Source organism: Homo sapiens, chromosome 11 (genome assembly GCF_000001405.40).
Source record: "Homo sapiens chromosome 11, GRCh38.p14 Primary Assembly".
In the NCBI taxonomy this organism is placed as follows: Eukaryota; Metazoa; Chordata; class Mammalia; order Primates; family Hominidae; genus Homo; species Homo sapiens.
In genome coordinates, this window is record NC_000011.10 from 65,496,090 (window position 1) to 65,522,244 (window position 26,155).

General features: G+C 45.8%; 1 long non-coding RNA gene, 2 other non-coding genes and 1 pseudogene across 5 annotated transcripts, besides 15 other annotated features; 2 read left to right on the forward strand and 2 right to left on the reverse strand.

Moving 5' to 3' along the window:
- Window positions 948-2,147: an enhancer, noted in NCBI's record as "MED14-independent group 3 enhancer chr11:65264508-65265707 (GRCh37/hg19 assembly coordinates)". NCBI's record gives its function as "activates an origin of replication core promoter dependent on BRD2, BRD4, P300/CBP and CDK7 cofactors, and independent of MED14, by STARR-seq in HCT116 cells {active_cell/tissue: HCT116}" and the evidence as "EXISTENCE:reporter gene assay evidence [ECO:0000049][PMID:35650434]".
- Window positions 1,117-1,556: an enhancer, noted in NCBI's record as "active region_4978". NCBI's record gives its function as "activates an Ori minimal core promoter by ATAC-STARR-seq in GM12878 lymphoblastoid cells {active_cell/tissue: GM12878}" and the evidence as "EXISTENCE:reporter gene assay evidence [ECO:0000049][PMID:35858748]".
- Window positions 1,343-1,487: an enhancer, noted in NCBI's record as "145 bp enhancer 21/22 fragment used in the MPRA reporter construct; PK_construct_4807". NCBI's record gives its function as "activates an SV40 promoter by MPRA in HepG2 and K562 cells {active_cell/tissue: HepG2 | K562}" and the evidence as "EXISTENCE:reporter gene assay evidence [ECO:0000049][PMID:23512712]".
- Window positions 1,408-1,423: a transcriptional cis regulatory region, noted in NCBI's record as "ZFP161 motif; enhancer activity is reduced when this motif is scrambled". NCBI's record gives its function as "necessary for full MPRA enhancer 21/22 activity {active_cell/tissue: HepG2 | K562}" and the evidence as "EXISTENCE:site-directed mutagenesis evidence [ECO:0005528][PMID:23512712]".
- Window positions 1,617-1,676: a silencer, noted in NCBI's record as "silent region_3528". NCBI's record gives its function as "represses an Ori minimal core promoter by ATAC-STARR-seq in GM12878 lymphoblastoid cells {active_cell/tissue: GM12878}" and the evidence as "EXISTENCE:reporter gene assay evidence [ECO:0000049][PMID:35858748]".
- MALAT1 (metastasis associated lung adenocarcinoma transcript 1) lies at window positions 1,649-10,427 on the forward strand. Of its 3 annotated transcripts, NR_144568.1 has the most exons (3): window positions 1,649-2,645; window positions 2,880-6,304; window positions 6,548-10,427. It is a non-coding gene; the product is annotated as a metastasis associated lung adenocarcinoma transcript 1 (long non-coding RNA). The 3 variants fall into 3 exon arrangements; NR_144567.1 differs by having other exon boundaries at window positions 2,880-10,427; NR_002819.5 differs by lacking the exon at window positions 1,649-2,645 and having other exon boundaries at window positions 2,956-10,427.
- Window positions 1,717-1,956: an enhancer, noted in NCBI's record as "active region_4979". NCBI's record gives its function as "activates an Ori minimal core promoter by ATAC-STARR-seq in GM12878 lymphoblastoid cells {active_cell/tissue: GM12878}" and the evidence as "EXISTENCE:reporter gene assay evidence [ECO:0000049][PMID:35858748]".
- Window positions 2,017-2,086: an enhancer, noted in NCBI's record as "active region_4980". NCBI's record gives its function as "activates an Ori minimal core promoter by ATAC-STARR-seq in GM12878 lymphoblastoid cells {active_cell/tissue: GM12878}" and the evidence as "EXISTENCE:reporter gene assay evidence [ECO:0000049][PMID:35858748]".
- Window positions 2,647-2,716: an enhancer, noted in NCBI's record as "active region_4981". NCBI's record gives its function as "activates an Ori minimal core promoter by ATAC-STARR-seq in GM12878 lymphoblastoid cells {active_cell/tissue: GM12878}" and the evidence as "EXISTENCE:reporter gene assay evidence [ECO:0000049][PMID:35858748]".
- Window positions 2,767-2,846: an enhancer, noted in NCBI's record as "active region_4982". NCBI's record gives its function as "activates an Ori minimal core promoter by ATAC-STARR-seq in GM12878 lymphoblastoid cells {active_cell/tissue: GM12878}" and the evidence as "EXISTENCE:reporter gene assay evidence [ECO:0000049][PMID:35858748]".
- TALAM1 (TALAM1 transcript, MALAT1 antisense RNA) lies at window positions 3,223-11,343 on the reverse strand. The gene has a single exon (NR_145459.1).
- Window positions 4,350-4,479: an enhancer, noted in NCBI's record as "active region_4983". NCBI's record gives its function as "activates an Ori minimal core promoter by ATAC-STARR-seq in GM12878 lymphoblastoid cells {active_cell/tissue: GM12878}" and the evidence as "EXISTENCE:reporter gene assay evidence [ECO:0000049][PMID:35858748]".
- Window positions 10,028-10,085, forward strand: MASCRNA (MALAT1-associated small cytoplasmic RNA). Its single transcript, NR_144569.1, has one exon.
- Window positions 10,683-10,782: an enhancer, noted in NCBI's record as "active region_4984". NCBI's record gives its function as "activates an Ori minimal core promoter by ATAC-STARR-seq in GM12878 lymphoblastoid cells {active_cell/tissue: GM12878}" and the evidence as "EXISTENCE:reporter gene assay evidence [ECO:0000049][PMID:35858748]".
- Window positions 11,283-11,592: an enhancer, noted in NCBI's record as "active region_4985". NCBI's record gives its function as "activates an Ori minimal core promoter by ATAC-STARR-seq in GM12878 lymphoblastoid cells {active_cell/tissue: GM12878}" and the evidence as "EXISTENCE:reporter gene assay evidence [ECO:0000049][PMID:35858748]".
- Window positions 11,283-11,986: a biological region, named in NCBI's record as "NANOG-H3K4me1 hESC enhancer GRCh37_chr11:65274865-65275546".
- Window positions 11,305-11,986: an enhancer, noted in NCBI's record as "NANOG-H3K4me1 hESC enhancer chr11:65274865-65275546 (GRCh37/hg19 assembly coordinates)". NCBI's record gives its function as "activates a minimal SCP1, AML or CMV promoter by ChIP-STARR-seq in naive H9 embryonic stem cells {active_cell/tissue: H9 hESC(naive)}" and the evidence as "EXISTENCE:reporter gene assay evidence [ECO:0000049][PMID:30033119]".
- Window positions 11,703-11,772: an enhancer, noted in NCBI's record as "active region_4986". NCBI's record gives its function as "activates an Ori minimal core promoter by ATAC-STARR-seq in GM12878 lymphoblastoid cells {active_cell/tissue: GM12878}" and the evidence as "EXISTENCE:reporter gene assay evidence [ECO:0000049][PMID:35858748]".
- On the reverse strand, window positions 18,314-18,834 carry SNRPGP19 (small nuclear ribonucleoprotein polypeptide G pseudogene 19; annotated as a pseudogene).

A 26,155-nucleotide genomic window follows, 5' to 3' on the forward strand; every position in this document is an offset into this window, starting at 1 on the left:
CCTGTAGTACCAGCTACTCGGGAGGCTGAGGCAAGTGAATTGCTTGAACCAGGGAGGCGGAGGTTACGGTGAGCCGAGATCCCGCCACTGCACTCCAGCCTCAGCGATAGAGTGAGACTTCGTCTCAAAAAAAAAAAAAAAGAAACATTCTGTAATCTGTCAAGGTAATGGAAATTAATGCAGTGACACTGACAATAATTTAAAGCATTTTAGGGCTCTTAACGTTCATCTCACTCGCTCTAGAGTGAAGGAGAGAGCAGAGAGTACAGAGCAGGTCCTAGGTCCTCCCCCAGATATAGAAAAACCGCAGTTGGAGAGACTGACAGAAGTGCTGGAGAGGAAGGGAGGCAGCAGGACGTGGAAAATCTGGGATTCAAGAACAGCTTCTGCTATTAATTAGCTGTGTGTCATTTCAGGCAAATCACAAAATCTCCAGGCCCCCAAATCCCCATTTGCGAAACGAGGTGACCTGCCTCAGTTTTCCTTCATCCAGCGATAAAATTCTACTAAAAAATTTCCAACCCCAGAGCAAGCATCAGGACTGTGCCTGAAGGGATCCGGCTGCATCTCAGTAATATTCCACTCTTACAGGCTTAAAAATAAAAAAGAAAAGAAAAGAAAACAAGAACAGTTTCACCAGCGTCAATTGAGAACAGCTGCTTCAACAGGCCCTGCTTTATGTGGGCAGGTGGGGACAGGGAGTTGGCCCAGAAAACAGGACCCTCATTTCCTGGAGCCCCCAGGGCAGCTCCCCAACACCGTACACAACCTGCATCATTTACAGGAGCCAAAGGAGTTTTAGAAATCAACTTCATAGAGTTGCTGTATCATTGTGTTAGTTTTGCCATCCTAACCTATACAGCGTCACTAATCTCTCCCCTCGGAGTTGACTGCCTAAAAACAAGCCATGGATACAGGTTCCAAAGACCCGGGGGTGAGGGAGCGGAGAGGGTGGGTGTCACCACCCCGTCCAGCTCCAAGCTTTGTGTGCCCTGGAACTCTCCATTTTAGGTCATTGCTTCAGTTTCTTTTCTAAAAAATTAGGCTGCTGCAAGGTCAGCCTGAGACCACTTCTGCCCCGAGAATTCTAGACTAGTAAGACCTGGTGACATACAAACGACGAAGATATTTTACAATAATGCCATGGCCCTTGATAGCTACACGAGGTTTGTGTTCTGATTTTAAATTAATGGATGACGTCGAGACTATATGGAGGAAATGACAAAGGACAGGAGAGAGGTGGGAAAGGAAGACCTAGACTGAAAATGGAAGTTGGGCAGCAGCTCCACGAAAGAAAGACCAGCCCCCAAGTGCAGTGACAGCGCAGAGTAGCGACCGAGAAGTTCCCAGGCCAGCTGCCACCCCGCCCCCATGCCATTCCCCAGAACAGGCACAGGCGTTAGGGCGGGGCGCGCGTGCGCAGTCACGCGCTGCGCCAACCGCCACAGCTCCGGGAAGGCGGCCAGGACCGGCTAGAGCCGGTTAGAACCAGTGGCGCCCGCCCACGAGCCAGCGCCTCACAAAGGGAGGGCGGCTCACGGCCCTCGCGTATCCCTGCGCGGCGCTCGCGAGCCGCCCCTCCCCCGGCGTTTGTCCCTGACGCAGCCCCACCGGTTGCGCAGTCCCTCCCCGCCCCCGCTCTCCCCTCCGCAGCCTGCAGCCCGAGACTTCTGTAAAGGACTGGGGCCCCGCAACTGGCCTCTCCTGCCCTCTTAAGCGCAGCGCCATTTTAGCAACGCAGAAGCCCGGCGCCGGGAAGCCTCAGCTCGCCTGAAGGCAGGTCCCCTCTGACGCCTCCGGGAGCCCAGGTTTCCCAGAGTCCTTGGGACGCAGCGACGAGTTGTGCTGCTATCTTAGCTGTCCTTATAGGCTGGCCATTCCAGGTGGTGGTATTTAGATAAAACCACTCAAACTCTGCAGTTTGGTCTTGGGGTTTGGAGGAAAGCTTTTATTTTTCTTCCTGCTCCGGTTCAGAAGGTCTGAAGCTCATACCTAACCAGGCATAACACAGAATCTGCAAAACAAAAACCCCTAAAAAAGCAGACCCAGAGCAGTGTAAACACTTCTGGGTGTGTCCCTGACTGGCTGCCCAAGGTCTCTGTGTCTTCGGAGACAAAGCCATTCGCTTAGTTGGTCTACTTTAAAAGGCCACTTGAACTCGCTTTCCATGGCGATTTGCCTTGTGAGCACTTTCAGGAGAGCCTGGAAGCTGAAAAACGGTAGAAAAATTTCCGTGCGGGCCGTGGGGGGCTGGCGGCAACTGGGGGGCCGCAGATCAGAGTGGGCCACTGGCAGCCAACGGCCCCCGGGGCTCAGGCGGGGAGCAGCTCTGTGGTGTGGGATTGAGGCGTTTTCCAAGAGTGGGTTTTCACGTTTCTAAGATTTCCCAAGCAGACAGCCCGTGCTGCTCCGATTTCTCGAACAAAAAAGCAAAACGTGTGGCTGTCTTGGGAGCAAGTCGCAGGACTGCAAGCAGTTGGGGGAGAAAGTCCGCCATTTTGCCACTTCTCAACCGTCCCTGCAAGGCTGGGGCTCAGTTGCGTAATGGAAAGTAAAGCCCTGAACTATCACACTTTAATCTTCCTTCAAAAGGTGGTAAACTATACCTACTGTCCCTCAAGAGAACACAAGAAGTGCTTTAAGAGGTATTTTAAAAGTTCCGGGGGTTTTGTGAGGTGTTTGATGACCCGTTTAAAATATGATTTCCATGTTTCTTTTGTCTAAAGTTTGCAGCTCAAATCTTTCCACACGCTAGTAATTTAAGTATTTCTGCATGTGTAGTTTGCATTCAAGTTCCATAAGCTGTTAAGAAAAATCTAGAAAAGTAAAACTAGAACCTATTTTTAACCGAAGAACTACTTTTTGCCTCCCTCACAAAGGCGGCGGAAGGTGATCGAATTCCGGTGATGCGAGTTGTTCTCCGTCTATAAATACGCCTCGCCCGAGCTGTGCGGTAGGCATTGAGGCAGCCAGCGCAGGGGCTTCTGCTGAGGGGGCAGGCGGAGCTTGAGGAAACCGCAGATAAGTTTTTTTCTCTTTGAAAGATAGAGATTAATACAACTACTTAAAAAATATAGTCAATAGGTTACTAAGATATTGCTTAGCGTTAAGTTTTTAACGTAATTTTAATAGCTTAAGATTTTAAGAGAAAATATGAAGACTTAGAAGAGTAGCATGAGGAAGGAAAAGATAAAAGGTTTCTAAAACATGACGGAGGTTGAGATGAAGCTTCTTCATGGAGTAAAAAATGTATTTAAAAGAAAATTGAGAGAAAGGACTACAGAGCCCCGAATTAATACCAATAGAAGGGCAATGCTTTTAGATTAAAATGAAGGTGACTTAAACAGCTTAAAGTTTAGTTTAAAAGTTGTAGGTGATTAAAATAATTTGAAGGCGATCTTTTAAAAAGAGATTAAACCGAAGGTGATTAAAAGACCTTGAAATCCATGACGCAGGGAGAATTGCGTCATTTAAAGCCTAGTTAACGCATTTACTAAACGCAGACGAAAATGGAAAGATTAATTGGGAGTGGTAGGATGAAACAATTTGGAGAAGATAGAAGTTTGAAGTGGAAAACTGGAAGACAGAAGTACGGGAAGGCGAAGAAAAGAATAGAGAAGATAGGGAAATTAGAAGATAAAAACATACTTTTAGAAGAAAAAAGATAAATTTAAACCTGAAAAGTAGGAAGCAGAAGAAAAAAGACAAGCTAGGAAACAAAAAGCTAAGGGCAAAATGTACAAACTTAGAAGAAAATTGGAAGATAGAAACAAGATAGAAAATGAAAATATTGTCAAGAGTTTCAGATAGAAAATGAAAAACAAGCTAAGACAAGTATTGGAGAAGTATAGAAGATAGAAAAATATAAAGCCAAAAATTGGATAAAATAGCACTGAAAAAATGAGGAAATTATTGGTAACCAATTTATTTTAAAAGCCCATCAATTTAATTTCTGGTGGTGCAGAAGTTAGAAGGTAAAGCTTGAGAAGATGAGGGTGTTTACGTAGACCAGAACCAATTTAGAAGAATACTTGAAGCTAGAAGGGGAAGTTGGTTAAAAATCACATCAAAAAGCTACTAAAAGGACTGGTGTAATTTAAAAAAAACTAAGGCAGAAGGCTTTTGGAAGAGTTAGAAGAATTTGGAAGGCCTTAAATATAGTAGCTTAGTTTGAAAAATGTGAAGGACTTTCGTAACGGAAGTAATTCAAGATCAAGAGTAATTACCAACTTAATGTTTTTGCATTGGACTTTGAGTTAAGATTATTTTTTAAATCCTGAGGACTAGCATTAATTGACAGCTGACCCAGGTGCTACACAGAAGTGGATTCAGTGAATCTAGGAAGACAGCAGCAGACAGGATTCCAGGAACCAGTGTTTGATGAAGCTAGGACTGAGGAGCAAGCGAGCAAGCAGCAGTTCGTGGTGAAGATAGGAAAAGAGTCCAGGAGCCAGTGCGATTTGGTGAAGGAAGCTAGGAAGAAGGAAGGAGCGCTAACGATTTGGTGGTGAAGCTAGGAAAAAGGATTCCAGGAAGGAGCGAGTGCAATTTGGTGATGAAGGTAGCAGGCGGCTTGGCTTGGCAACCACACGGAGGAGGCGAGCAGGCGTTGTGCGTAGAGGATCCTAGACCAGCATGCCAGTGTGCCAAGGCCACAGGGAAAGCGAGTGGTTGGTAAAAATCCGTGAGGTCGGCAATATGTTGTTTTTCTGGAACTTACTTATGGTAACCTTTTATTTATTTTCTAATATAATGGGGGAGTTTCGTACTGAGGTGTAAAGGGATTTATATGGGGACGTAGGCCGATTTCCGGGTGTTGTAGGTTTCTCTTTTTCAGGCTTATACTCATGAATCTTGTCTGAAGCTTTTGAGGGCAGACTGCCAAGTCCTGGAGAAATAGTAGATGGCAAGTTTGTGGGTTTTTTTTTTTTACACGAATTTGAGGAAAACCAAATGAATTTGATAGCCAAATTGAGACAATTTCAGCAAATCTGTAAGCAGTTTGTATGTTTAGTTGGGGTAATGAAGTATTTCAGTTTTGTGAATAGATGACCTGTTTTTACTTCCTCACCCTGAATTCGTTTTGTAAATGTAGAGTTTGGATGTGTAACTGAGGCGGGGGGGAGTTTTCAGTATTTTTTTTTGTGGGGGTGGGGGCAAAATATGTTTTCAGTTCTTTTTCCCTTAGGTCTGTCTAGAATCCTAAAGGCAAATGACTCAAGGTGTAACAGAAAACAAGAAAATCCAATATCAGGATAATCAGACCACCACAGGTTTACAGTTTATAGAAACTAGAGCAGTTCTCACGTTGAGGTCTGTGGAAGAGATGTCCATTGGAGAAATGGCTGGTAGTTACTCTTTTTTCCCCCCACCCCCTTAATCAGACTTTAAAAGTGCTTAACCCCTTAAACTTGTTATTTTTTACTTGAAGCATTTTGGGATGGTCTTAACAGGGAAGAGAGAGGGTGGGGGAGAAAATGTTTTTTTCTAAGATTTTCCACAGATGCTATAGTACTATTGACAAACTGGGTTAGAGAAGGAGTGTACCGCTGTGCTGTTGGCACGAACACCTTCAGGGACTGGAGCTGCTTTTATCCTTGGAAGAGTATTCCCAGTTGAAGCTGAAAAGTACAGCACAGTGCAGCTTTGGTTCATATTCAGTCATCTCAGGAGAACTTCAGAAGAGCTTGAGTAGGCCAAATGTTGAAGTTAAGTTTTCCAATAATGTGACTTCTTAAAAGTTTTATTAAAGGGGAGGGGCAAATATTGGCAATTAGTTGGCAGTGGCCTGTTACGGTTGGGATTGGTGGGGTGGGTTTAGGTAATTGTTTAGTTTATGATTGCAGATAAACTCATGCCAGAGAACTTAAAGTCTTAGAATGGAAAAAGTAAAGAAATATCAACTTCCAAGTTGGCAAGTAACTCCCAATGATTTAGTTTTTTTCCCCCCAGTTTGAATTGGGAAGCTGGGGGAAGTTAAATATGAGCCACTGGGTGTACCAGTGCATTAATTTGGGCAAGGAAAGTGTCATAATTTGATACTGTATCTGTTTTCCTTCAAAGTATAGAGCTTTTGGGGAAGGAAAGTATTGAACTGGGGGTTGGTCTGGCCTACTGGGCTGACATTAACTACAATTATGGGAAATGCAAAAGTTGTTTGGATATGGTAGTGTGTGGTTCTCTTTTGGAATTTTTTTCAGGTGATTTAATAATAATTTAAAACTACTATAGAAACTGCAGAGCAAAGGAAGTGGCTTAATGATCCTGAAGGGATTTCTTCTGATGGTAGCTTTTGTATTATCAAGTAAGATTCTATTTTCAGTTGTGTGTAAGCAAGTTTTTTTTTAGTGTAGGAGAAATACTTTTCCATTGTTTAACTGCAAAACAAGATGTTAAGGTATGCTTCAAAAATTTTGTAAATTGTTTATTTTAAACTTATCTGTTTGTAAATTGTAACTGATTAAGAATTGTGATAGTTCAGCTTGAATGTCTCTTAGAGGGTGGGCTTTTGTTGATGAGGGAGGGGAAACTTTTTTTTTTTCTATAGACTTTTTTCAGATAACATCTTCTGAGTCATAACCAGCCTGGCAGTATGATGGCCTAGATGCAGAGAAAACAGCTCCTTGGTGAATTGATAAGTAAAGGCAGAAAAGATTATATGTCATACCTCCATTGGGGAATAAGCATAACCCTGAGATTCTTACTACTGATGAGAACATTATCTGCATATGCCAAAAAATTTTAAGCAAATGAAAGCTACCAATTTAAAGTTACGGAATCTACCATTTTAAAGTTAATTGCTTGTCAAGCTATAACCACAAAAATAATGAATTGATGAGAAATACAATGAAGAGGCAATGTCCATCTCAAAATACTGCTTTTACAAAAGCAGAATAAAAGCGAAAAGAAATGAAAATGTTACACTACATTAATCCTGGAATAAAAGAAGCCGAAATAAATGAGAGATGAGTTGGGATCAAGTGGATTGAGGAGGCTGTGCTGTGTGCCAATGTTTCGTTTGCCTCAGACAGGTATCTCTTCGTTATCAGAAGAGTTGCTTCATTTCATCTGGGAGCAGAAAACAGCAGGCAGCTGTTAACAGATAAGTTTAACTTGCATCTGCAGTATTGCATGTTAGGGATAAGTGCTTATTTTTAAGAGCTGTGGAGTTCTTAAATATCAACCATGGCACTTTCTCCTGACCCCTTCCCTAGGGGATTTCAGGATTGAGAAATTTTTCCATCGAGCCTTTTTAAAATTGTAGGACTTGTTCCTGTGGGCTTCAGTGATGGGATAGTACACTTCACTCAGAGGCATTTGCATCTTTAAATAATTTCTTAAAAGCCTCTAAAGTGATCAGTGCCTTGATGCCAACTAAGGAAATTTGTTTAGCATTGAATCTCTGAAGGCTCTATGAAAGGAATAGCATGATGTGCTGTTAGAATCAGATGTTACTGCTAAAATTTACATGTTGTGATGTAAATTGTGTAGAAAACCATTAAATCATTCAAAATAATAAACTATTTTTATTAGAGAATGTATACTTTTAGAAAGCTGTCTCCTTATTTAAATAAAATAGTGTTTGTCTGTAGTTCAGTGTTGGGGCAATCTTGGGGGGGATTCTTCTCTAATCTTTCAGAAACTTTGTCTGCGAACACTCTTTAATGGACCAGATCAGGATTTGAGCGGAAGAACGAATGTAACTTTAAGGCAGGAAAGACAAATTTTATTCTTCATAAAGTGATGAGCATATAATAATTCCAGGCACATGGCAATAGAGGCCCTCTAAATAAGGAATAAATAACCTCTTAGACAGGTGGGAGATTATGATCAGAGTAAAAGGTAATTACACATTTTATTTCCAGAAAGTCAGGGGTCTATAAATTGACAGTGATTAGAGTAATACTTTTTCACATTTCCAAAGTTTGCATGTTAACTTTAAATGCTTACAATCTTAGAGTGGTAGGCAATGTTTTACACTATTGACCTTATATAGGGAAGGGAGGGGGTGCCTGTGGGGTTTTAAAGAATTTTCCTTTGCAGAGGCATTTCATCCTTCATGAAGCCATTCAGGATTTTGAATTGCATATGAGTGCTTGGCTCTTCCTTCTGTTCTAGTGAGTGTATGAGACCTTGCAGTGAGTTTATCAGCATACTCAAAATTTTTTTCCTGGAATTTGGAGGGATGGGAGGAGGGGGTGGGGCTTACTTGTTGTAGCTTTTTTTTTTTTTACAGACTTCACAGAGAATGCAGTTGTCTTGACTTCAGGTCTGTCTGTTCTGTTGGCAAGTAAATGCAGTACTGTTCTGATCCCGCTGCTATTAGAATGCATTGTGAAACGACTGGAGTATGATTAAAAGTTGTGTTCCCCAATGCTTGGAGTAGTGATTGTTGAAGGAAAAAATCCAGCTGAGTGATAAAGGCTGAGTGTTGAGGAAATTTCTGCAGTTTTAAGCAGTCGTATTTGTGATTGAAGCTGAGTACATTTTGCTGGTGTATTTTTAGGTAAAATGCTTTTTGTTCATTTCTGGTGGTGGGAGGGGACTGAAGCCTTTAGTCTTTTCCAGATGCAACCTTAAAATCAGTGACAAGAAACATTCCAAACAAGCAACAGTCTTCAAGAAATTAAACTGGCAAGTGGAAATGTTTAAACAGTTCAGTGATCTTTAGTGCATTGTTTATGTGTGGGTTTCTCTCTCCCCTCCCTTGGTCTTAATTCTTACATGCAGGAACACTCAGCAGACACACGTATGCGAAGGGCCAGAGAAGCCAGACCCAGTAAGAAAAAATAGCCTATTTACTTTAAATAAACCAAACATTCCATTTTAAATGTGGGGATTGGGAACCACTAGTTCTTTCAGATGGTATTCTTCAGACTATAGAAGGAGCTTCCAGTTGAATTCACCAGTGGACAAAATGAGGAAAACAGGTGAACAAGCTTTTTCTGTATTTACATACAAAGTCAGATCAGTTATGGGACAATAGTATTGAATAGATTTCAGCTTTATGCTGGAGTAACTGGCATGTGAGCAAACTGTGTTGGCGTGGGGGTGGAGGGGTGAGGTGGGCGCTAAGCCTTTTTTTAAGATTTTTCAGGTACCCCTCACTAAAGGCACCGAAGGCTTAAAGTAGGACAACCATGGAGCCTTCCTGTGGCAGGAGAGACAACAAAGCGCTATTATCCTAAGGTCAAGAGAAGTGTCAGCCTCACCTGATTTTTATTAGTAATGAGGACTTGCCTCAACTCCCTCTTTCTGGAGTGAAGCATCCGAAGGAATGCTTGAAGTACCCCTGGGCTTCTCTTAACATTTAAGCAAGCTGTTTTTATAGCAGCTCTTAATAATAAAGCCCAAATCTCAAGCGGTGCTTGAAGGGGAGGGAAAGGGGGAAAGCGGGCAACCACTTTTCCCTAGCTTTTCCAGAAGCCTGTTAAAAGCAAGGTCTCCCCACAAGCAACTTCTCTGCCACATCGCCACCCCGTGCCTTTTGATCTAGCACAGACCCTTCACCCCTCACCTCGATGCAGCCAGTAGCTTGGATCCTTGTGGGCATGATCCATAATCGGTTTCAAGGTAACGATGGTGTCGAGGTCTTTGGTGGGTTGAACTATGTTAGAAAAGGCCATTAATTTGCCTGCAAATTGTTAACAGAAGGGTATTAAAACCACAGCTAAGTAGCTCTATTATAATACTTATCCAGTGACTAAAACCAACTTAAACCAGTAAGTGGAGAAATAACATGTTCAAGAACTGTAATGCTGGGTGGGAACATGTAACTTGTAGACTGGAGAAGATAGGCATTTGAGTGGCTGAGAGGGCTTTTGGGTGGGAATGCAAAAATTCTCTGCTAAGACTTTTTCAGGTGAACATAACAGACTTGGCCAAGCTAGCATCTTAGCGGAAGCTGATCTCCAATGCTCTTCAGTAGGGTCATGAAGGTTTTTCTTTTCCTGAGAAAACAACACGTATTGTTTTCTCAGGTTTTGCTTTTTGGCCTTTTTCTAGCTTAAAAAAAAAAAAAGCAAAAGATGCTGGTGGTTGGCACTCCTGGTTTCCAGGACGGGGTTCAAATCCCTGCGGCGTCTTTGCTTTGACTACTAATCTGTCTTCAGGACTCTTTCTGTATTTCTCCTTTTCTCTGCAGGTGCTAGTTCTTGGAGTTTTGGGGAGGTGGGAGGTAACAGCACAATATCTTTGAACTATATACATCCTTGATGTATAATTTGTCAGGAGCTTGACTTGATTGTATATTCATATTTACACGAGAACCTAATATAACTGCCTTGTCTTTTTCAGGTAATAGCCTGCAGCTGGTGTTTTGAGAAGCCCTACTGCTGAAAACTTAACAATTTTGTGTAATAAAAATGGAGAAGCTCTAAATTGTTGTGGTTCTTTTGTGAATAAAAAAATCTTGATTGGGGAAAAAAGATGGGTGTTCTGTGGGCTTGTTCTGTTAAATCTGTGGTCTATAAACACAGCACCCATAATTACAGCATAATCTTCAAGTAGGGTACGGACTTTGGGGGATTGGTGCGAGGGTAGTGGGTGAGTGGCCTACTAAAAAGCCCAGTAACCCCCACAGGAAAATAGGGAACTTCTTTTTAAGTAGCCTCCTTTCCACTATTTAGTAATTGGCTGTGAGCTGGGCTGGGGGAGAAATGGGGCGGGGTGTGTGTGTCATTGGAAAGCTCTCTTTTTTGTTTTTTTGAGACAGTCTCACTTTGTCCCCCAGGCTGGAGTGTAGTGGCATGATCTCTGCAAACTGCAACCTCCACTTCTGGGGTCCAAGTGGTTGTCCTGCTTCACCCTCCCTGTAGCTGGGACTACAGGTGCACACCACCACGCCTGGCTAATTTTTGTATTTTCAGTTAGAGACGTGGTTTTACCATATTGGCCAGGCTGGTCTCAAACTCCTGACCTCGTGTGATCCACCCGCCTGGGCCTCTGAAAGTGCTGGGATTACAGGTGTGAGCCACCAAGCCTGGCCGATCCTTTTAAGTTTTTAAACCAGTTAAGCTCTTTGGTTCCCCCTCAGAGTCCCAAGGTCCTGGGTCACTCAGGATCACATTTTCCTTTAATCAGTTGTCACTGGTCCCCTTTTGTCCCTTTGAACGTGCTGTGGGATTAGTAGCAGCATCTGGCTGTTGGAAGGACTGGCTGGGATCTCAGGTGAAATACCCTCCCTGGCCCTCCTTACCCTTAAGATCTCCCTGAAAAGTCAGACCTTGCTTATTGGAGTTTGAGATGCATTCTAGTAAACCCAGACCTACCAGAGAGAGGGACCCACGTCTGAAGAATCTTCCAGCCTGGGGAACCTGTGACTGGCCACACCCTTAGCCTAATGGAGGGGCCTCAGAAGCAGAACTACCTTTTTTTTTTTTTTTAATGGTATTACATTTTGCAAATGGAGAGGTAGACTCTGATTGGGCCCCTTTTGACAACGCAGCAGAGCTGAGGTTTGAATCCTAGTCAGTCAACACTTCAACCCCTATGTTGCTGTTTCTTCAATGTCTAGAATGTTCTGATAGATGAAGCAATGGCCCGGCAGGTCAGCAGCACACCAACCCCCAACCTACCCAGCCTGTATAGGCCTTGGCCACAGGAGCTTTCTCTTCCCTTGAAGTGATCTAATGGGGGATGGGGTATCTGTCTCGCTGGTTATGAAAGAAGCTGAGCTAGGTGCTCTCCTAAGTTGCTTAAGTGTCTTCTGAATTGATGCCCAGTCAGTTTCGTATGGAGAAAGGTCTCTGTTTTTCCAAAGCAGAAGGTTCTGTGGAAGCACAAATACTTTACTGGAGAGCAAAGGAGTACGAGTAGGAATTGGGGGCCACGCACAGTGGCTCACGCCTATAATCCCAGGACTTTGGGAGGCCGAGGTGGGCAGATCACCTGAGGTCAGGAGTTCGAGACCAGCCTGACCAACATGGAGAAACCCCATCTCTACTAAAAATACAAAATTAGCCGGGCGTGGTGGCGTATGTCTGTAACCCCAGCTATTCGAGAGGCTGAGGTAGGAGAATCGCTTGGACCCGGGAGGCGGAGGTTGCAGTGAGCTGAGATTGCGCCACTGCACTCCAGCCTGGGCAACAAGAGCGAAACTGTCTCAAAAAAAAAAAAAAAAGAAGAAGAAAGGCTGGGCACGGTGGCTCAAGCCTGTAATCCCAGCACTTTGGGAGGCCGAGGCGGGCGGATCACGAAGTCAGGAGATTGAAACCATCCTGGCTAACACGGTGAAACCCCGTCTCTACTACACACACACACACACACACACACACACACACACACACACACACAATTTGCTGGGCGTGGTGGAGGGCGCCTGTAGTCCTAGCTACTCGTGAGGCTGAGGCAGGAGAATGGCGTGAACCTGGGAGGCGGAGCTTGCCGTGAGGTGAGATCGGGCCACTGCACTCCAGCCTGGGCGACAGAGCGAGACTCCGTCTTAAAAAAAAAAAAAAAAAAAAAAAGAGTAGGAGCTGGGCATTCGCCAGGGGCTACGTAGTTCCTGGAGTTGAGGAAGTTCTCCAGGATTGAAAAATGTAAAGATCAGACACTGATCACAGCAACAGGAGGAGGCAGAAAAGTAGGCCGGAAGTCATTTCCACCCTCTGAGCACAAAATGGAGAGCATAAATTCCCCAAAAGCTCCTGTCCAAGTCAAGGGGACTGCGCTTTTTTTTTTTTTTTTGGAAACAGAGTCTCCCTCTGTCGCCAGGCTGGAGTGCAGTAGTGTGATCTCGGCTCACTGCAACCTCCGCCTCCTGAGTTCAAGCGATTCTCCTGCCTCAACCTTCCGACTAGCTGGAACTACAGGCGCGCCACCACGCCCAGCTAATTTTTGTATATTTAGTAGACGCGGGGTTTCACCATGTTGGCCAGGATGGTCTCGATCTCTTGACGTCGTGATCCTCCCGCCTCGGCCTCCCGAAGTGCTGGGATTACAAGGATGAGCCACCGCGCCCGGCCGACTGCTCTTAATAATATAAACAAGCCCTAGGCATTCCCCATATGTACTCCTCCAGTTGTACACAGGGACCTCAGTTTTTTCTTTTTTTTTTCTTTTTTCTTTTCTTTTCTTTTTTTTTTTTTTTTTTGAGACGGAGTCTCGCTCTGTCGCCCAGGCTGGAGTGCAGTGGGGCAATCTCGGCTCACTGCAACCTCCACCTCCCAGTTCAAGCGATTCTCCTCCCTCTGCCTTCCGAGTAGCTGAGACTACAGGCACACGCCACAACGCCCAGCTAATTTTTGTATTTTTAGTAGAGATAGAGTTTCGCCATGTTTGCCAGGCCAGTCTGGAACTCCCGACCTCAAGCGATCTGCCTGCCTTGGCCTCCCAAAGTGCTAAAATTACAGGTGTGAGCCACCGATCCCGGCCCACAGTTTTGGATTTCATCATCCTGATAATCCTGAGTTCAAGGGGCAGCTCCACCATTCCCCAACCCCTCCAAAACCTACCCTCTCAAGCCCCTCAGACCGAGGATCAGGGGCTGGTTGGTATGGACCTGTGTGAGATTTGGTTTGTTTTTGTTTTTGATACAGGGTCTCATTTTGTAGCTCAGGTTGGAATGCAGAGGCACAATCTAGGCTCGGCTCACTGCAACCTCTGCCTCTCAGGCTCAAGTGATCCTCCCATCTCAGCCCCGGGGTAGCTGGGATTATAGGAACACCTGCCACCACACCTGGCTAATTTTTTTTTTTTTTTGAGAAGCAGTCTTGCTCTGTCACCCAGGCTGGAGTGCAATGGTGCAATCTCGGCTCACTGCCTGCCACCTCCACCTCCTGGGTTCAAGCAATTCTTCTGCCTCAGCCTCTGGAGTAGCTGAGGCTACAGTTGTGCGCCACCACACCTGGCTAATTTTTTTGTATTTTTAGTAGAGACAGGGTTTCACCCTATTGTCCAGGCTGGTCTCAAACTCCTGACCTCGTGATCCGCTGTTTTCGTTTGGTTTGGGGTTTTTTTTTTTTTTGAGATGGAGTTTCATTCTTGTTCCCCAGGCTGGAGTGCAATGGCGCGATCTCCGCTCACTGCAACCTCTGCCTCCCGGGTTCAAGCAATTCTCCTGCCTCAGCCTCCTGAGCAGCTGGGATTACAGGCATGCGCCACCATACCTGTCTAGTTTTGTATTTTTAGTAGAGACGCGGTCTCTCCATATTGGTCAGGCTGGTCTGGAACTCCCGACCTCAGGTGATCCACCCGCCTCAGCCTCCCAAAGTGCTGGGATTACAGGCTTGAGCCACCACTCCTGGCCTAATTTTTGCATTTTTATTTTATTTTATTTATTTATTTATTTATTTATTTTTGAGACGGCGTCTTGTTCTGTCGCCCAGGCTGGAGTGCAATGGCGCGATCTCAGCTCACTGCAACCTCTACCTCCCAGGTTCACGCTATTCTCCTGCCTCAGCCTCTTGAGTAGCTGGGATTACAGGCACTCACGACGGTGCCCAGCTAATTTTTGTATTTTTAGTAGAGACGGGGGTGTCCGCCATGTTGGCCAGGCTGGTTTCGAACTCCTGAACTCAGGTGATCCGCCTCCCTCGGCTTTCCAAAGTGCTGGGATTACAGACTTGAGCCACTGCACCTGGCCCGGGCCGAGTACTTCTGACTTCAGGAAATGGATGAAATTACCAGACTTAGGGGAAGGGAACAGTGTGGGGAAGAGATCTGGGAGGGTTCTCATTCATGGGTTGTTGATTTGGAAGACCAGAAACCTGGCTCTGACAAAGCAGTGTTCTTTACGCCTCTGTTTTCCTATCTTTAATTGGGGACAGTGCTCTGTCAGTTTACTGTGACAAGCAAGAGTAGCCACAGTAGACCCACCTGGAAGCAACTAGAAATGACTTGGCTCTTGCTGCCATCTAGTGAACAAATTGGGCATTGCATGCGTTAGCTTTGGAATACATTGTAATACACTTGTTCAACAAACTTTTTTTTTTTTTTTGAGACTGAGTCTCACTCTGTCACCCAGGCTGGAATGCAGCGGTGCCATCTTCACTCACTGCAACCTCCGCCTCCTGGGTTCAAGCAATTCTCCTGTCTCAGCCTCCTGAGTAGCTGGGATTACAGGCTCCCACCACCACGCCCGGCTAATTTTTGTATTTTTAGTAGAGACAGGGTTTCACCATGTTGGCCAGGCTGATCTCGAACTCCTGACCTCAGGTGATCCACCTGCCTCAGCCTACCAAAGTGCTGGGATTACAGGCGTGAGCCACTGCACCCGTCTCAACAAGCATTTTTATTGCTGAGTAATACTCCCTTGTGTGGATATACCATGAAATTATTTTTAAAAATATTGGCTGAGGGCTGGGCGCGGTGGCTCATGCCTGTAATCCCAGCACTTTGGGAGGCCGAGGAGGGTGGATCACCTGAGGTTAGGAGTTCGAGACCAGCCTAGTCAATATGGAGAAACCTCCTCGTCTCTACCAAAAATACAAAAATGTTACAAACCTCACATTCGACACATGTATCCCAGGACTTAAAGTTAAAAAAAAATTATCTGAGTGTGATGGCACATGCCTGTAATCCCAGGTACTCGGGAGGCTGAGGCAGGAGAATTGCTTGAACCAGCGAGGCAGAGATTGCAGTGAGCCGAGATCATGCCATTGCACTCCAGCCTGGCCAACAGTGAGATTCCATCTCAAAAAAAAAAAAAAAAAAAAATTAAGGCCAGTCTCAGTGGCTCACGCCTGTAACCCCAGCACTTTGGGAGGCCAAAATGGACAGAACACTTGAAGTCAGGGGTTTGAGACCAGCCTGGCCAATGTGGTAAAACCTTGTTTCTACTAAAAATACAAAAAAATTAGCTGGGCGTAGTGGCACACATCTGTAATCCCAGCTATTCGGGAGGCTGAGACATGAGAATCACTTGAACCCAGGAGGTAGAGATCACGTCACTGCACTCCAGCCTGGGTACCAGAGTGAGACTCTGTTTAAAAAAAAATAAAAATTAAGAGTGGCTGGGCATGGTGGCTCACGCCGGTAATCCAAGTACTTTGGAAGGCTGCAGAGGGTGGATCTCTTGAGGCCAAGAGTTTGAGACCAACATGGCCAACACAGCAAGACCAAAAATATACAAAAATTAGCCAGGCGTGGTGGCTGGCTCCTGTAATCCCAGCTATTTGGGAGGCTGAGGCATTGCTTGAACCCAGGAGGTGGAGGCTACATTAGGCCGAGATCGCACCACTGCACTCCAGCCTGGACAACAGAGCAAGACTCTGTCTCAAAAAACAACAACAACAAAAAAGAGATTGTGTCTTGCTTTGTTATCCAGGCTGGTCTTGAACTCCTGGACTCAAGGGATCCTCCCACCTCAGCCTCCCAAAGTGGGATTACAGGTGTGACCCACTGCACCCAGCACTGGTGTTTTTTGTTTTGTTTTGGGACATGGTCTCACTTTGTCGCTGTTGCTCAGGCCGCAGTTCAGTGGCAGGATCTCAGCTTACTGCAGCCTCTGCCTCCTGAGCTCAAGCCAGCCTCCCACCTGAGCCTCCCAAGTAGCTGGAACCATACAGGTGCATACCACCATGCCTAGCTAATTTTTTTTTTAGATGGAGTTTCACTCTTGTTGCCCAGGCTGGAATGCAATGGCACGATCTTGGCTCACTGCAACCTCCACCTCCCCAGTTCAAGCAATTCTCTTGCCTCAGCCTCCTGATTAGCTAGGATTACAGGCATGCACCACCATGCTAGGCTAATTTTGTATTTTTAGTAGAGATGGGTTTTCTCCATTTTGGTCAGGCTGGTCTCTAACTCCTGACCTCAGGTGGTCTGCCCGCCTTGGCCTACCAAAGTGCTGGGATTACAGGTGTGATCCACCGCACCCGGCCTTAATTTTTTTATTTTTAGTAGAGATGGGGTCTCTCCATGTTGCCCAGGATGGTCTGGAACTCCTGAGCTCGAGTGATCCTCCCGCCTCAGCCTTCCAAAGTGCTGAGATTACAGGTGTGAGCCGCCTCGCCTGGCCACAGTTGCGTATCTTCTTTGGTGAAGTGTCTGTTCATTTGTGTTGTGTTTTTCTCTTTTCTTTTCTTTTCTTTTCTTTTCTTTTTAAGACGGAGTCTCCGTCTGTCGCCCAGGCTAGAGTGCAGTGTTGCGATCTCGGTTCACTGCAACCTCCACCTCCCAGGTTCAAGCGATTCTCCTGCCTCAGCCTCCCAAGTACCTGGGATTGAAGGAGCGCCCCACCACGCCCGGCTAATTTTTGTTTTTTTAGTAGAGACCGGGTTTCACCAGGTTGGTCAGGCTGGTCTTGAACTCCTGACCTCAAATGATCCACCCACCACGGCCTCCCAAAGGTGTGAGCCACCGTGCCCAGCCATTTTGTGTTTTTTTTTTCTTGCCATTGTTGTTGGCATTTTTATCTTTTGTTGAGTTGTAAGGGCTTTTACATATTCGAGATAGAAGTCCCTTGTCAGATTTTTTTTCTTTTTTTACTTCTGTTGTATGTTTATTATTTATTTTGTATTTTTTGAGACGGAGTCTCGCTCTGTCGCCCAGGCTGGAGTGCAGTGGTGCAATCTCAGCTCACTGCAACCTCTGCCTCCCGGGTTCAAGCAATTCTCCTGCCTCAGCCTCCCAAGTGGCTGGGATTACAGGCATGCACCACCACACCCCACTAATTTTTGTATTTTTAGTAGAGACAGGGTTTCACAATGTCGGCCAGGCTGGTCTCAAACTCCTGACCTCAAGAGATCTGCCTGCCTTGGTCTCCCAAAGTGTTGGGATTACAGGCATGAGCCGCTGCCCGTGGCCTGTTTTATGTTTAGATATATGTTTTGCAAAAGTTTTATCCCAATATGTGTCTTTCTTTTCATTTTTTTGTAACAGTGTCTTTGAGGAGTAGAAGTTTTAAATCTCTTTTTTTAAATTTTTATTGTTACAAATGTTTACTTAATAAAAAGCTTAATATAAAAATGCACATGGCCCAGGCCGGGCGCGGTGGCTCATGCCTGTAATCCCAGCACTTTGGGAGGCCGAGGCGGGCTGATCACGAGGTCAGAAGATCAAGACCATCCTGGCTAACATGGTGAAACCCCGTCTCTACTAAAAATAATACAAAAAATTAGCCGGGCGTGGTGGCGGGCGCCTGTAGTCCCAGCTACTTGAGAGGCTGAGGCAAGAGAATGGCATAAACCCGGGAGGCAGAGCTTGCAGTGAGCCGAGATTGTGCCACTGCACTCCAGCCTGAGCGACAAAGGGAGACTCTGTCTCAAAAAAAAAAAAAAAAAAAAATGTACGTGGCCCAATTTTTACATCATAGTAAAACAAGTCCTTTGGAGAAGGGACTTGGATTTCTCTGCAGAGCCGCCATTGTTTATAGTTGTTCCAAGGCTTCTAATATGAGGATACTTCTCCCTCATCTTACCACTGTTCCAGGGTTGCTCTGTTGTCCACTAGTTGCCATCTTCACACTTTCATCTATCACAAGATTCATAAAGGGATCAAATCCCCAAAATATTCCTTGGATACATCTGCCATCATTTAATATTTTTTATTTTTTATTTTTTTGAGATGGAGTCTCACACTGTTGCCAGGCTAGAATGCAGTGGCTCGATCTTGGCTCACAGCAACCTCTGACTCCCTGGTTCAAGCGATTCTCCTGCCTCAGCCTCCAGAGTAGCTGGGACTACAGGCATGCGCCACCACGCCCAGCTAATTTTTGTATTTTTAGTAGAGACGGGTTTTCACCATGCTGGCCAAGATGGTCTCGATCTCTTGACCTGGTGATCTACCCGCCTCAGCCTCCCAAAGTGCTGGGATTACAGGCGTGAGCCACCATGCCTAGCCGTTATCTATAATTTTTATGCTGGAGGAGGGCGGGGGGTGAGCTTTGCTCATAGTGTCTCAAGGTTTTAAATCTTGAACAAACTACTGATACACCCGTAATACATAAGAATTTCAAAAGATGTTGAGATTAAAGAAACCAGTTTTTAAAAACTATTAGTTTAGTGCAAAAGTAATTGCAGGCTGGGTGTGGCAGCTCACGCCTATAATCCCAGCACTTTGGGAGGCCAAAGCAAGTGGATCACCTGAGGTCAGGAGTTCAAGACCAGCCTGACCAACGTGGTGAAGCCCCGTCTCTACTAAAAATACAAAAATTAGCCGAGTGTGGTGGTAAACACCTGCAATCCCAGCTACCGGGGAGGCTGAGACATGAGAATCGCTTGAACCCGGGAGACAGAGGTTGCAGTGAGCCATGATTGCACCCCTGCACTCAAGCCTGGGTGACAGAGTGAGACTCCGTCTCAAAAAAAAGTAATTGCAGTTTTTGCCATTAATACATACTGCATGATTCAATTTATATACAAATCTTTGTATTTTTAGTAGAGACGGGGTTTCACCCTGTTGGTCAGGCTGGTCACGAACTCCTGACCTCAAGTTATCCACCTCCCCTGGCCTCCCAAAGTGCTGGGATTACAGGTGTGAGCCACTGCACATGGCCAAGAGCATTTTTTTTTTTTTATAGAGACAAGGTCTTGCTATGTTGCCCAGGCTGGCCTCAAACTCCTGGGCTCAAGCAATCCTCCTTCCTCAGCTTCCCAAAGTGCTGGGATTACAGGCATGAGCCACCGTGCCTGGTCTCTGAGAGCATTTCTTGTGAAGTGCACTGGAAAAGCACAGAAGCAATGCTTTTTAACAAATTAATTAAATTAATTTATTTTTATTTCTTTATTTTGAGACAAGGTCTCACCCTGTTGCTCAGGCTGGAGTGCAGTGGTTGAATCATGGCTTACTGCAGCCTCAACCTCCTGGGCTCAAGCAATCCTTCTTCCTCGGCCTCCAAAGTAGCTGGGACTACAGGTGCACACCTCCATGCCTGGCTAATTTTTTGATATTTTGTTGAGATGAGGGTCCTACTCTATGGCCGAGGCTGGTCTTGAACTCCTGAGCTCAAGCGATCCTCCCACCTCAGCCTTCCAAAGTGCCAGGATTACAGGTGTGAGCCATCTTGCCAGGCTAGAAGCAATGCTTTCTGCCTGAATAATTCAGGGAAGGCTAGACAGAGCAGGGGACATTTGGAGTGAGATTCAAAGAATACGAATTTGCTGGATAGAAAAGACCAGGGCAGCCTTCCTCCAGAGAGAACAGCTTGAAAGTGAGAAATGTGGGGCACTGCAACCCAGAGTGGCTGGAAGGGAGGCTGAGAGAGGAGTTGGAGAAGGGGAGAGAGGAGAGGAGAGAGGAGGGGAGGGGAGGGGAGGGGAGGAGGAGCGACAGAGAGAGAGAGAGAGGCAGAGAGAGGAGAGAGAGAAAGGAGACAGAGAAACAGAGAGAGGAAAGACAGAGAGGAGAGAGAGTAGAGAGAGACAGAGAGGAGAGAGACATAGGAGAGAGATAAAAGAGAGAGAGAGGAGAAAGAGAGACAGAGAGGAGAGAGACCAAGGAGAGAGACAGGAGAGAGACAGAGAGAGAGCAGAGAGAAAGGAGAGAGAGAGATGGAGAGAGAGAGGAGTGAGAGTAGAGAGACAGAGGAGAGAGACAGAGAGAGAGGAGAGAGAGACAGAAAGGAGAGAGAGAGAGGAGACAGAAAGGAGAGAGAGAGACAGAGAGAGGAGAGAGACAGAAAGGAAAGAGAGAGAGACAGAGAGAGAGAGAGAGGAGAGAGAGAGAGAGAGAAGCTGGGGTAGGTTGGAGGGTAGTTAGGCCCTAGGACAGCAGATGAGTTAGGGGCTTGCCCCTGGGGAACAGATGGTGAGACTGATGATTCTGGCTGCAAGGTGGGGGATGATCACACTCAGTTCTAGCCACGTGCAGTTTGAGGAGGCTGGGCTGCGCGGGGGTCTGGGCCACGATGGGGGTGTAACTGATTTCTGAGTGGGAAATTCTGAGAGTCTTTGTTTGAAATATCTTTATTTTGCTCTCAGTTTTCATGACAGCTTAGCTGGGAATGGCATTTAGGTAGTGGTTGCCACTTGAAGATGTCTTTATGTTTAAAAAGTTATTGTTTTGTTTTGTTTTGTTTGAGGCAGAGTCTGGCTCTGTTGCCCAGGCTGGAGTGCAGTGGCGCGATCTTGGCTCACCACAACATCAGCCTCCCAGGTTCAAGCGATTCTCCTGCCTCAGCCTCCTGAGTAGCTGGGATTACAGGCACCTTGCCACCACGCACAGCTCATTTTTGTATTATTAGTAGAGACGAGGTTTCGCCGTGTTGGCCAGGCTGGTCTCAAACTCCTGACCTCATGTGATCTGCCTGCCTCAGCCTCCCAAAGTGCTGGGATTACAGGTGTGAGCCACCTCACCCGGCCAGTTTTGTTTTGTTTTGAGACAGGATCTGGAATGGCTTGCTCTGTTGCCCAGGCTGGAATGCAGTACCGTAATCATAGCTCACTGCAGCCTGAACTACTGGACTCGAGCAATACACCTGCCTCGGCCTCCCAAGGAAATGGGACTTTAGGCATGCACCACCACAACTAGCTGATTTTTAATTTTTTTTTTTTTTTTTTTTTTTTAGAGATAGGATCTCACTGTATTGCCCAGGCTGGTCCTGAACTCCTGGGCTCAAGCCATTCTCCTGCCTTGGCCCTCCAAAGTGCCAGGGTTATAGGCATAAGCCGCTGCACCTGGCCTGAACTTCTTTTCTTAGATTTATTCCTAGTAATTTATTCTTTCTTTATGTTATTAAAAATGGAGCCAGACGTGGTGGCTCACCTAAGTAAAACTTCACAGATGACATAATCTTGTATACAGAAAATCCTATGGAGTCTTTGAAAGCTATTAAAATTAATGAGTTCAGCAAGGTTGTAGGATGCAAGATCAACATACAAAAATCACTATAGCAGCGAACAATCTGAAAACATTCTTTTTTTTTTTTTTTTTTTTTTTACCTGACGACTCACTCTGTAGCCCATACTGGAGTGCAATGGCACGATCTCGACTCACTGCAACCTCGCCTCCCAGGTTCAAGTGATTGTCCTGCCTCAGCTTCCCGAGTAGCTGGGATTACAGGCACATGCCACCATGCCTGGCTAATTTTTTTTTTTTTTATTAAGTAGAGGTGGGGTTTCTCCATGTTGGTTGCTCTTGAACTCCTGACCTCATGTGTTCTGCCCACTTTGGCTTCCCAAAGTGCTGGGATTACAGGTGTGAGCCACTGTGCCTGGCCAGGTTCAGGTGACCTTCACGCCCCAGTTCAGACTACAGGAATGTGCCACCATGCCTGGCTGGTTTCTTTTTTCTTTTTACCGTGAAAGACTGGTGGATTGGCCCGGGCCCGGTGGCTCATACCTGTAATCCCAGCACTTTGGGAGGCCAAGGCCAGCAGATTACCTGAGGTCAGGAGTTCAAGACCAGCCTGGCCAACATGGCGAATCCCCGTCTATACTAAAAATACAAAAATTAGCTGGGTATGGTGGTGAATGCCTGTAATCCCAGCTACTCGGGAGGCTGAGGCAGGAGAATCGCTTGAACCCGGGAGGTGAAGGTTGCAGTGAGCTGAGATCGCGCTACTGCACTCCAGCCTGGGTGACAAGGTGAGACTCTGTCTGAAAAAAAAAGGAAAGACTGGTGGATTTTGTTAATTGCTTTTTCTGCTTCTATTGAGATGATCAGGTATTTTTTTGTTTTGCTTTTTATTCTATTAATAGTATGTATTACATTAATTAATTTTCAGATGTTAAACCAACCTTGTATTCCTAGGATAAATCCTATTTAATCATGATATAGAATTTTCCTTTTCTTTTTTTTTTTTTAAGACAGAGTTTTGCTCTTGTTGCCCAGGCTGGAGTACAATGGAGCGATCTCAGCTCACCGCAACCTCCGCCTCCCAGGTTCAAGCAATTCTCCTGCCTCAGCCTTCCCGAGTAGCTGGGATTACAGGCATGTGCCACCATGCCCGGCTAATTTTGTATTTTTAATAGAGACGGGGTTTCTCCATGTTGGTCAGGCTGGTCTTGAACTCCCAACCTCAGGTGATCTGCCTGCCTTGGCCTCCCAAAGTGCTAAGATTACAGGCATGAGCCACCGCGCCCAGCCTTTTTTTTTTTTTTTTTTTTTTTTAAACACAGGTTCCTGCTCTGTTGCCTAGACTAGAGTGCAGTGCCGCAATCATGGCTCATGTCTCACGGCTCACTGCAACCTCAACCTCTTGGGTGGGCTCAAGCAATCCTCCTGCCTTAGCCTCCTGAGTAGCTGGGACTACAAGCATGTGCCACCATGCTGGGCTAATTTTTTTCGTAGAGACTGAGTCTTGCTATGTTGTCTAGGCTGACCTCAAACTCCTGGCCTCAAGCAAGCTAACCACCTCAGCCTCCCAAGTGCTGGGACTATAGGTGTGAGCCACTGCACCGGCTAGAATTCTCCTGACTCAGCCTCCTGAGTAGCTGGGATTACAGGCAAGCCTGGCTAATTTTTTTTTTTTTTTTTTTTTTTTTTTTGTATTTTTAGTAGAGACAGGGTTTCACCGTGTTAGCCAGGATGGTCTGGATCTCCAGACCTTGTGATCCACCTGCCTTGGCCTCCCAAAGTGATGGGATTACAGGTGTTAGCCACTGCGCCTGGCCTGCTCTGTAGTTTCTTGTGATGTCTTTATCTGGTTTTGTTATCAGGGTACTATTGATACCAGCCTAATAGAATGAGTTGGGAAGTATTCCCTCTTCCTCTTCCATTTTTTGGAAGTGTTTGTGAAGAATTGGTATTAATTCTTTAAATGTTTGGTAGAAGTTAGTAGTGAAGAAGTTACTAGTCATCTGGGCCTAGACTTTTCTTTGTAAGTAGGTTTTTAATTTTTTTTTGAGACAGAGTCTCACTCTGTCGCCCAGGCTGGAGTGCAGTGGCATGATATCGGCTCATTGCAACCTCCACCTACAGGGTTCAAGCTATTCTCTTGCCTCAGCCTCCCAAGCAGCTGGGACTATAGGTGTGTGCCACCATGCCTGGCTAATTTTGTATTTTTAGTAGAGAAGGGGTTTCATCATGATGGCCAGGCTGATCTCAAACTTTTGACCTCATGTGATCCGCCCGCCTTGGCCTCCCAAAGTGCTGGGATTACAGGTGTGAGCCACTGCACCTGGCCCATATTCACAGGTTCTGAGAGTTAGGACATGGACATCTTTGAGGGGCTAGTATTCTGCCGACCACAATAGGCCAGAACCCTGAACAGTTTACTTTTTAGGCATCATATTTGCTAAAAACAAAACAAACAAAAAAACCAAACCAAACAAAGAAGTAAAAATCAAAACAAACAAAAAACACAGAGCCATTTTTTGGAAAGACAATAATAGGAAGTCAAAATAATGTTAATTTTGGAGTTATTATTGTTTATTTTATTTTATTTTATTTTTGAGATGGAGTCTCCCTCTGTCCCAGGCTGGAGTGCAGTGGCGTGATCTCGGCTCACTGCAACCTCCGCCTCCCGGGTTCAAGCGATTCTCCTGCCTCAGCCTCCAGAGTAGCTGGAATTACAGGCGCATGCCACCACGCCCGGCTAATTTTTGTATTTTTAGTAGAGACGGGCTTTCAGTACGTTGGCCAGGCTGGTCTCGAACTCCTGACCTCGTGATCCACCCACCTCGGCCTTCCAAAGTGGTGGGATTACAGGCGTGAGCCACCAAGCCCGGCAGCTTGAAGTTATTCTTACATGCTTTGGCAGATGTTAAAACGTTTGTTTTTTTTAAAATTCTCAACATTTAGATCTAGGACAGAGCACAATTTAAATACTTTCTAAAATTAAATTTGGCTGTTACATAAGATTCAGCATTGTTTACAGCAGCTTTTCTGTTTCATGCGTTATAATATAAGATAAAGTAGAAAGAACACCAAAGGTTTTCCTATGATAAGTCATCAACAAAATAAGTGTGGGCCATTAGCAAGTAGCTCTTGATATCTTACAGTGGGCTGAACAACAAATACTTTCTCTTGAAGAATTTGGATCCCTGTTAGCTAAGCTTAAAGTTCCCACTATTTTATTTTATTATTTTATTTATTTATTTATTTTTGAGACGAAGTCTCACTCTTGTCCCCCAGGCTGGAGTGCAATGGCGCAATCTTGGCTCACTGCAACCTCCGCCTCCCAGGTTCAAGCAATTCTCCCTCAGCCTCCTGAGTAGCTGGGATTACAGGCATGTGCCACCACGCCAGGCTAATTTTTTTTTTTTTTTTTTTGAGACAGAGTCTCGCTCTGTTGCCCAGGCTGGAGTGCAGTGGTGCGATCTTGGCTCACTGCAAGCTCCGCCTCCCAGGTTCACGCCATTCTTCTGCCTCAGCCTCTGGAGTAGCTGGGACTACAGTCGCCTGCCACCACGCCCGGCTAATTTTTTTTGTATTTTTAGTAGAGACGGGGTTTCATTGTGTTAGCCAGGATGGTCTCGATCTCCTGACCTCGTGATCCGCCCGCCTCGGCCTCCCAAAGTGCTGGGATTACAGGCGTGAGCCACTGCGCCTGGCCTCGCCTGGCTAATTTTTGTATTTTTAGTAGAGACGGGGTTTCACCATGTTGGCCAGGCTGGTCTTGAACTCCTGACCTCAGGTGAGCCATCCGCCTCGGCCTCCCAAAGTGCTGGGATTACAGGCGTGAGCTACCGTGCCCATCCAAGTTCCCACTTTTTTTTTGAGATGGAGTCTCGCTCTGTCGTCCAGGCTGGAGTGCAGTGGTGCGATCTCGGCTCACTGCAACCTCCACCTCCCAGATTCAAGCGATTCTCCTGCCTCAGCCTTCCCAGTAGCTGGGATTACAGGTGCCCACCACCACACCTGGCTAATTTTTGTGTTTTTAGTAGAGACGGGGTTTCAACATATGTGTAGGGTCCAGCCCTACGGGGCTTAGCATGTGTTCTCCCCCTGTGTGGAGACTAGAGATTGTAATAAATAAAGACACAAGACAAAGAGATAAAGAGAAAACAGCTGGGCCCCAGGGACCACTACCATCAAGACGCGGAGACCGGTAGTGGCCCCAAATGGCTGGGCTCGCTGATATTTATTGTATACAAGACAAGGGGGCAGGGTAAGGAGGGTGAATCTTCTAAGTGATTGACAAGGTGAAGCAGGTCAGGTGATTACAGGATAGGGGGCCCTTCCCTTTTAGGTAGCCGAAGCAGAGAGAGAAGGCAGCATACGTCAGCGTTTTCTTCTCTGCTCTTATAAGAAAGATCAAAGACTTTAAGACTTTCACTATTTCTTCTACCTCTATCTACTACGAATTTCAAAGACGAACCAGGAGTATGGG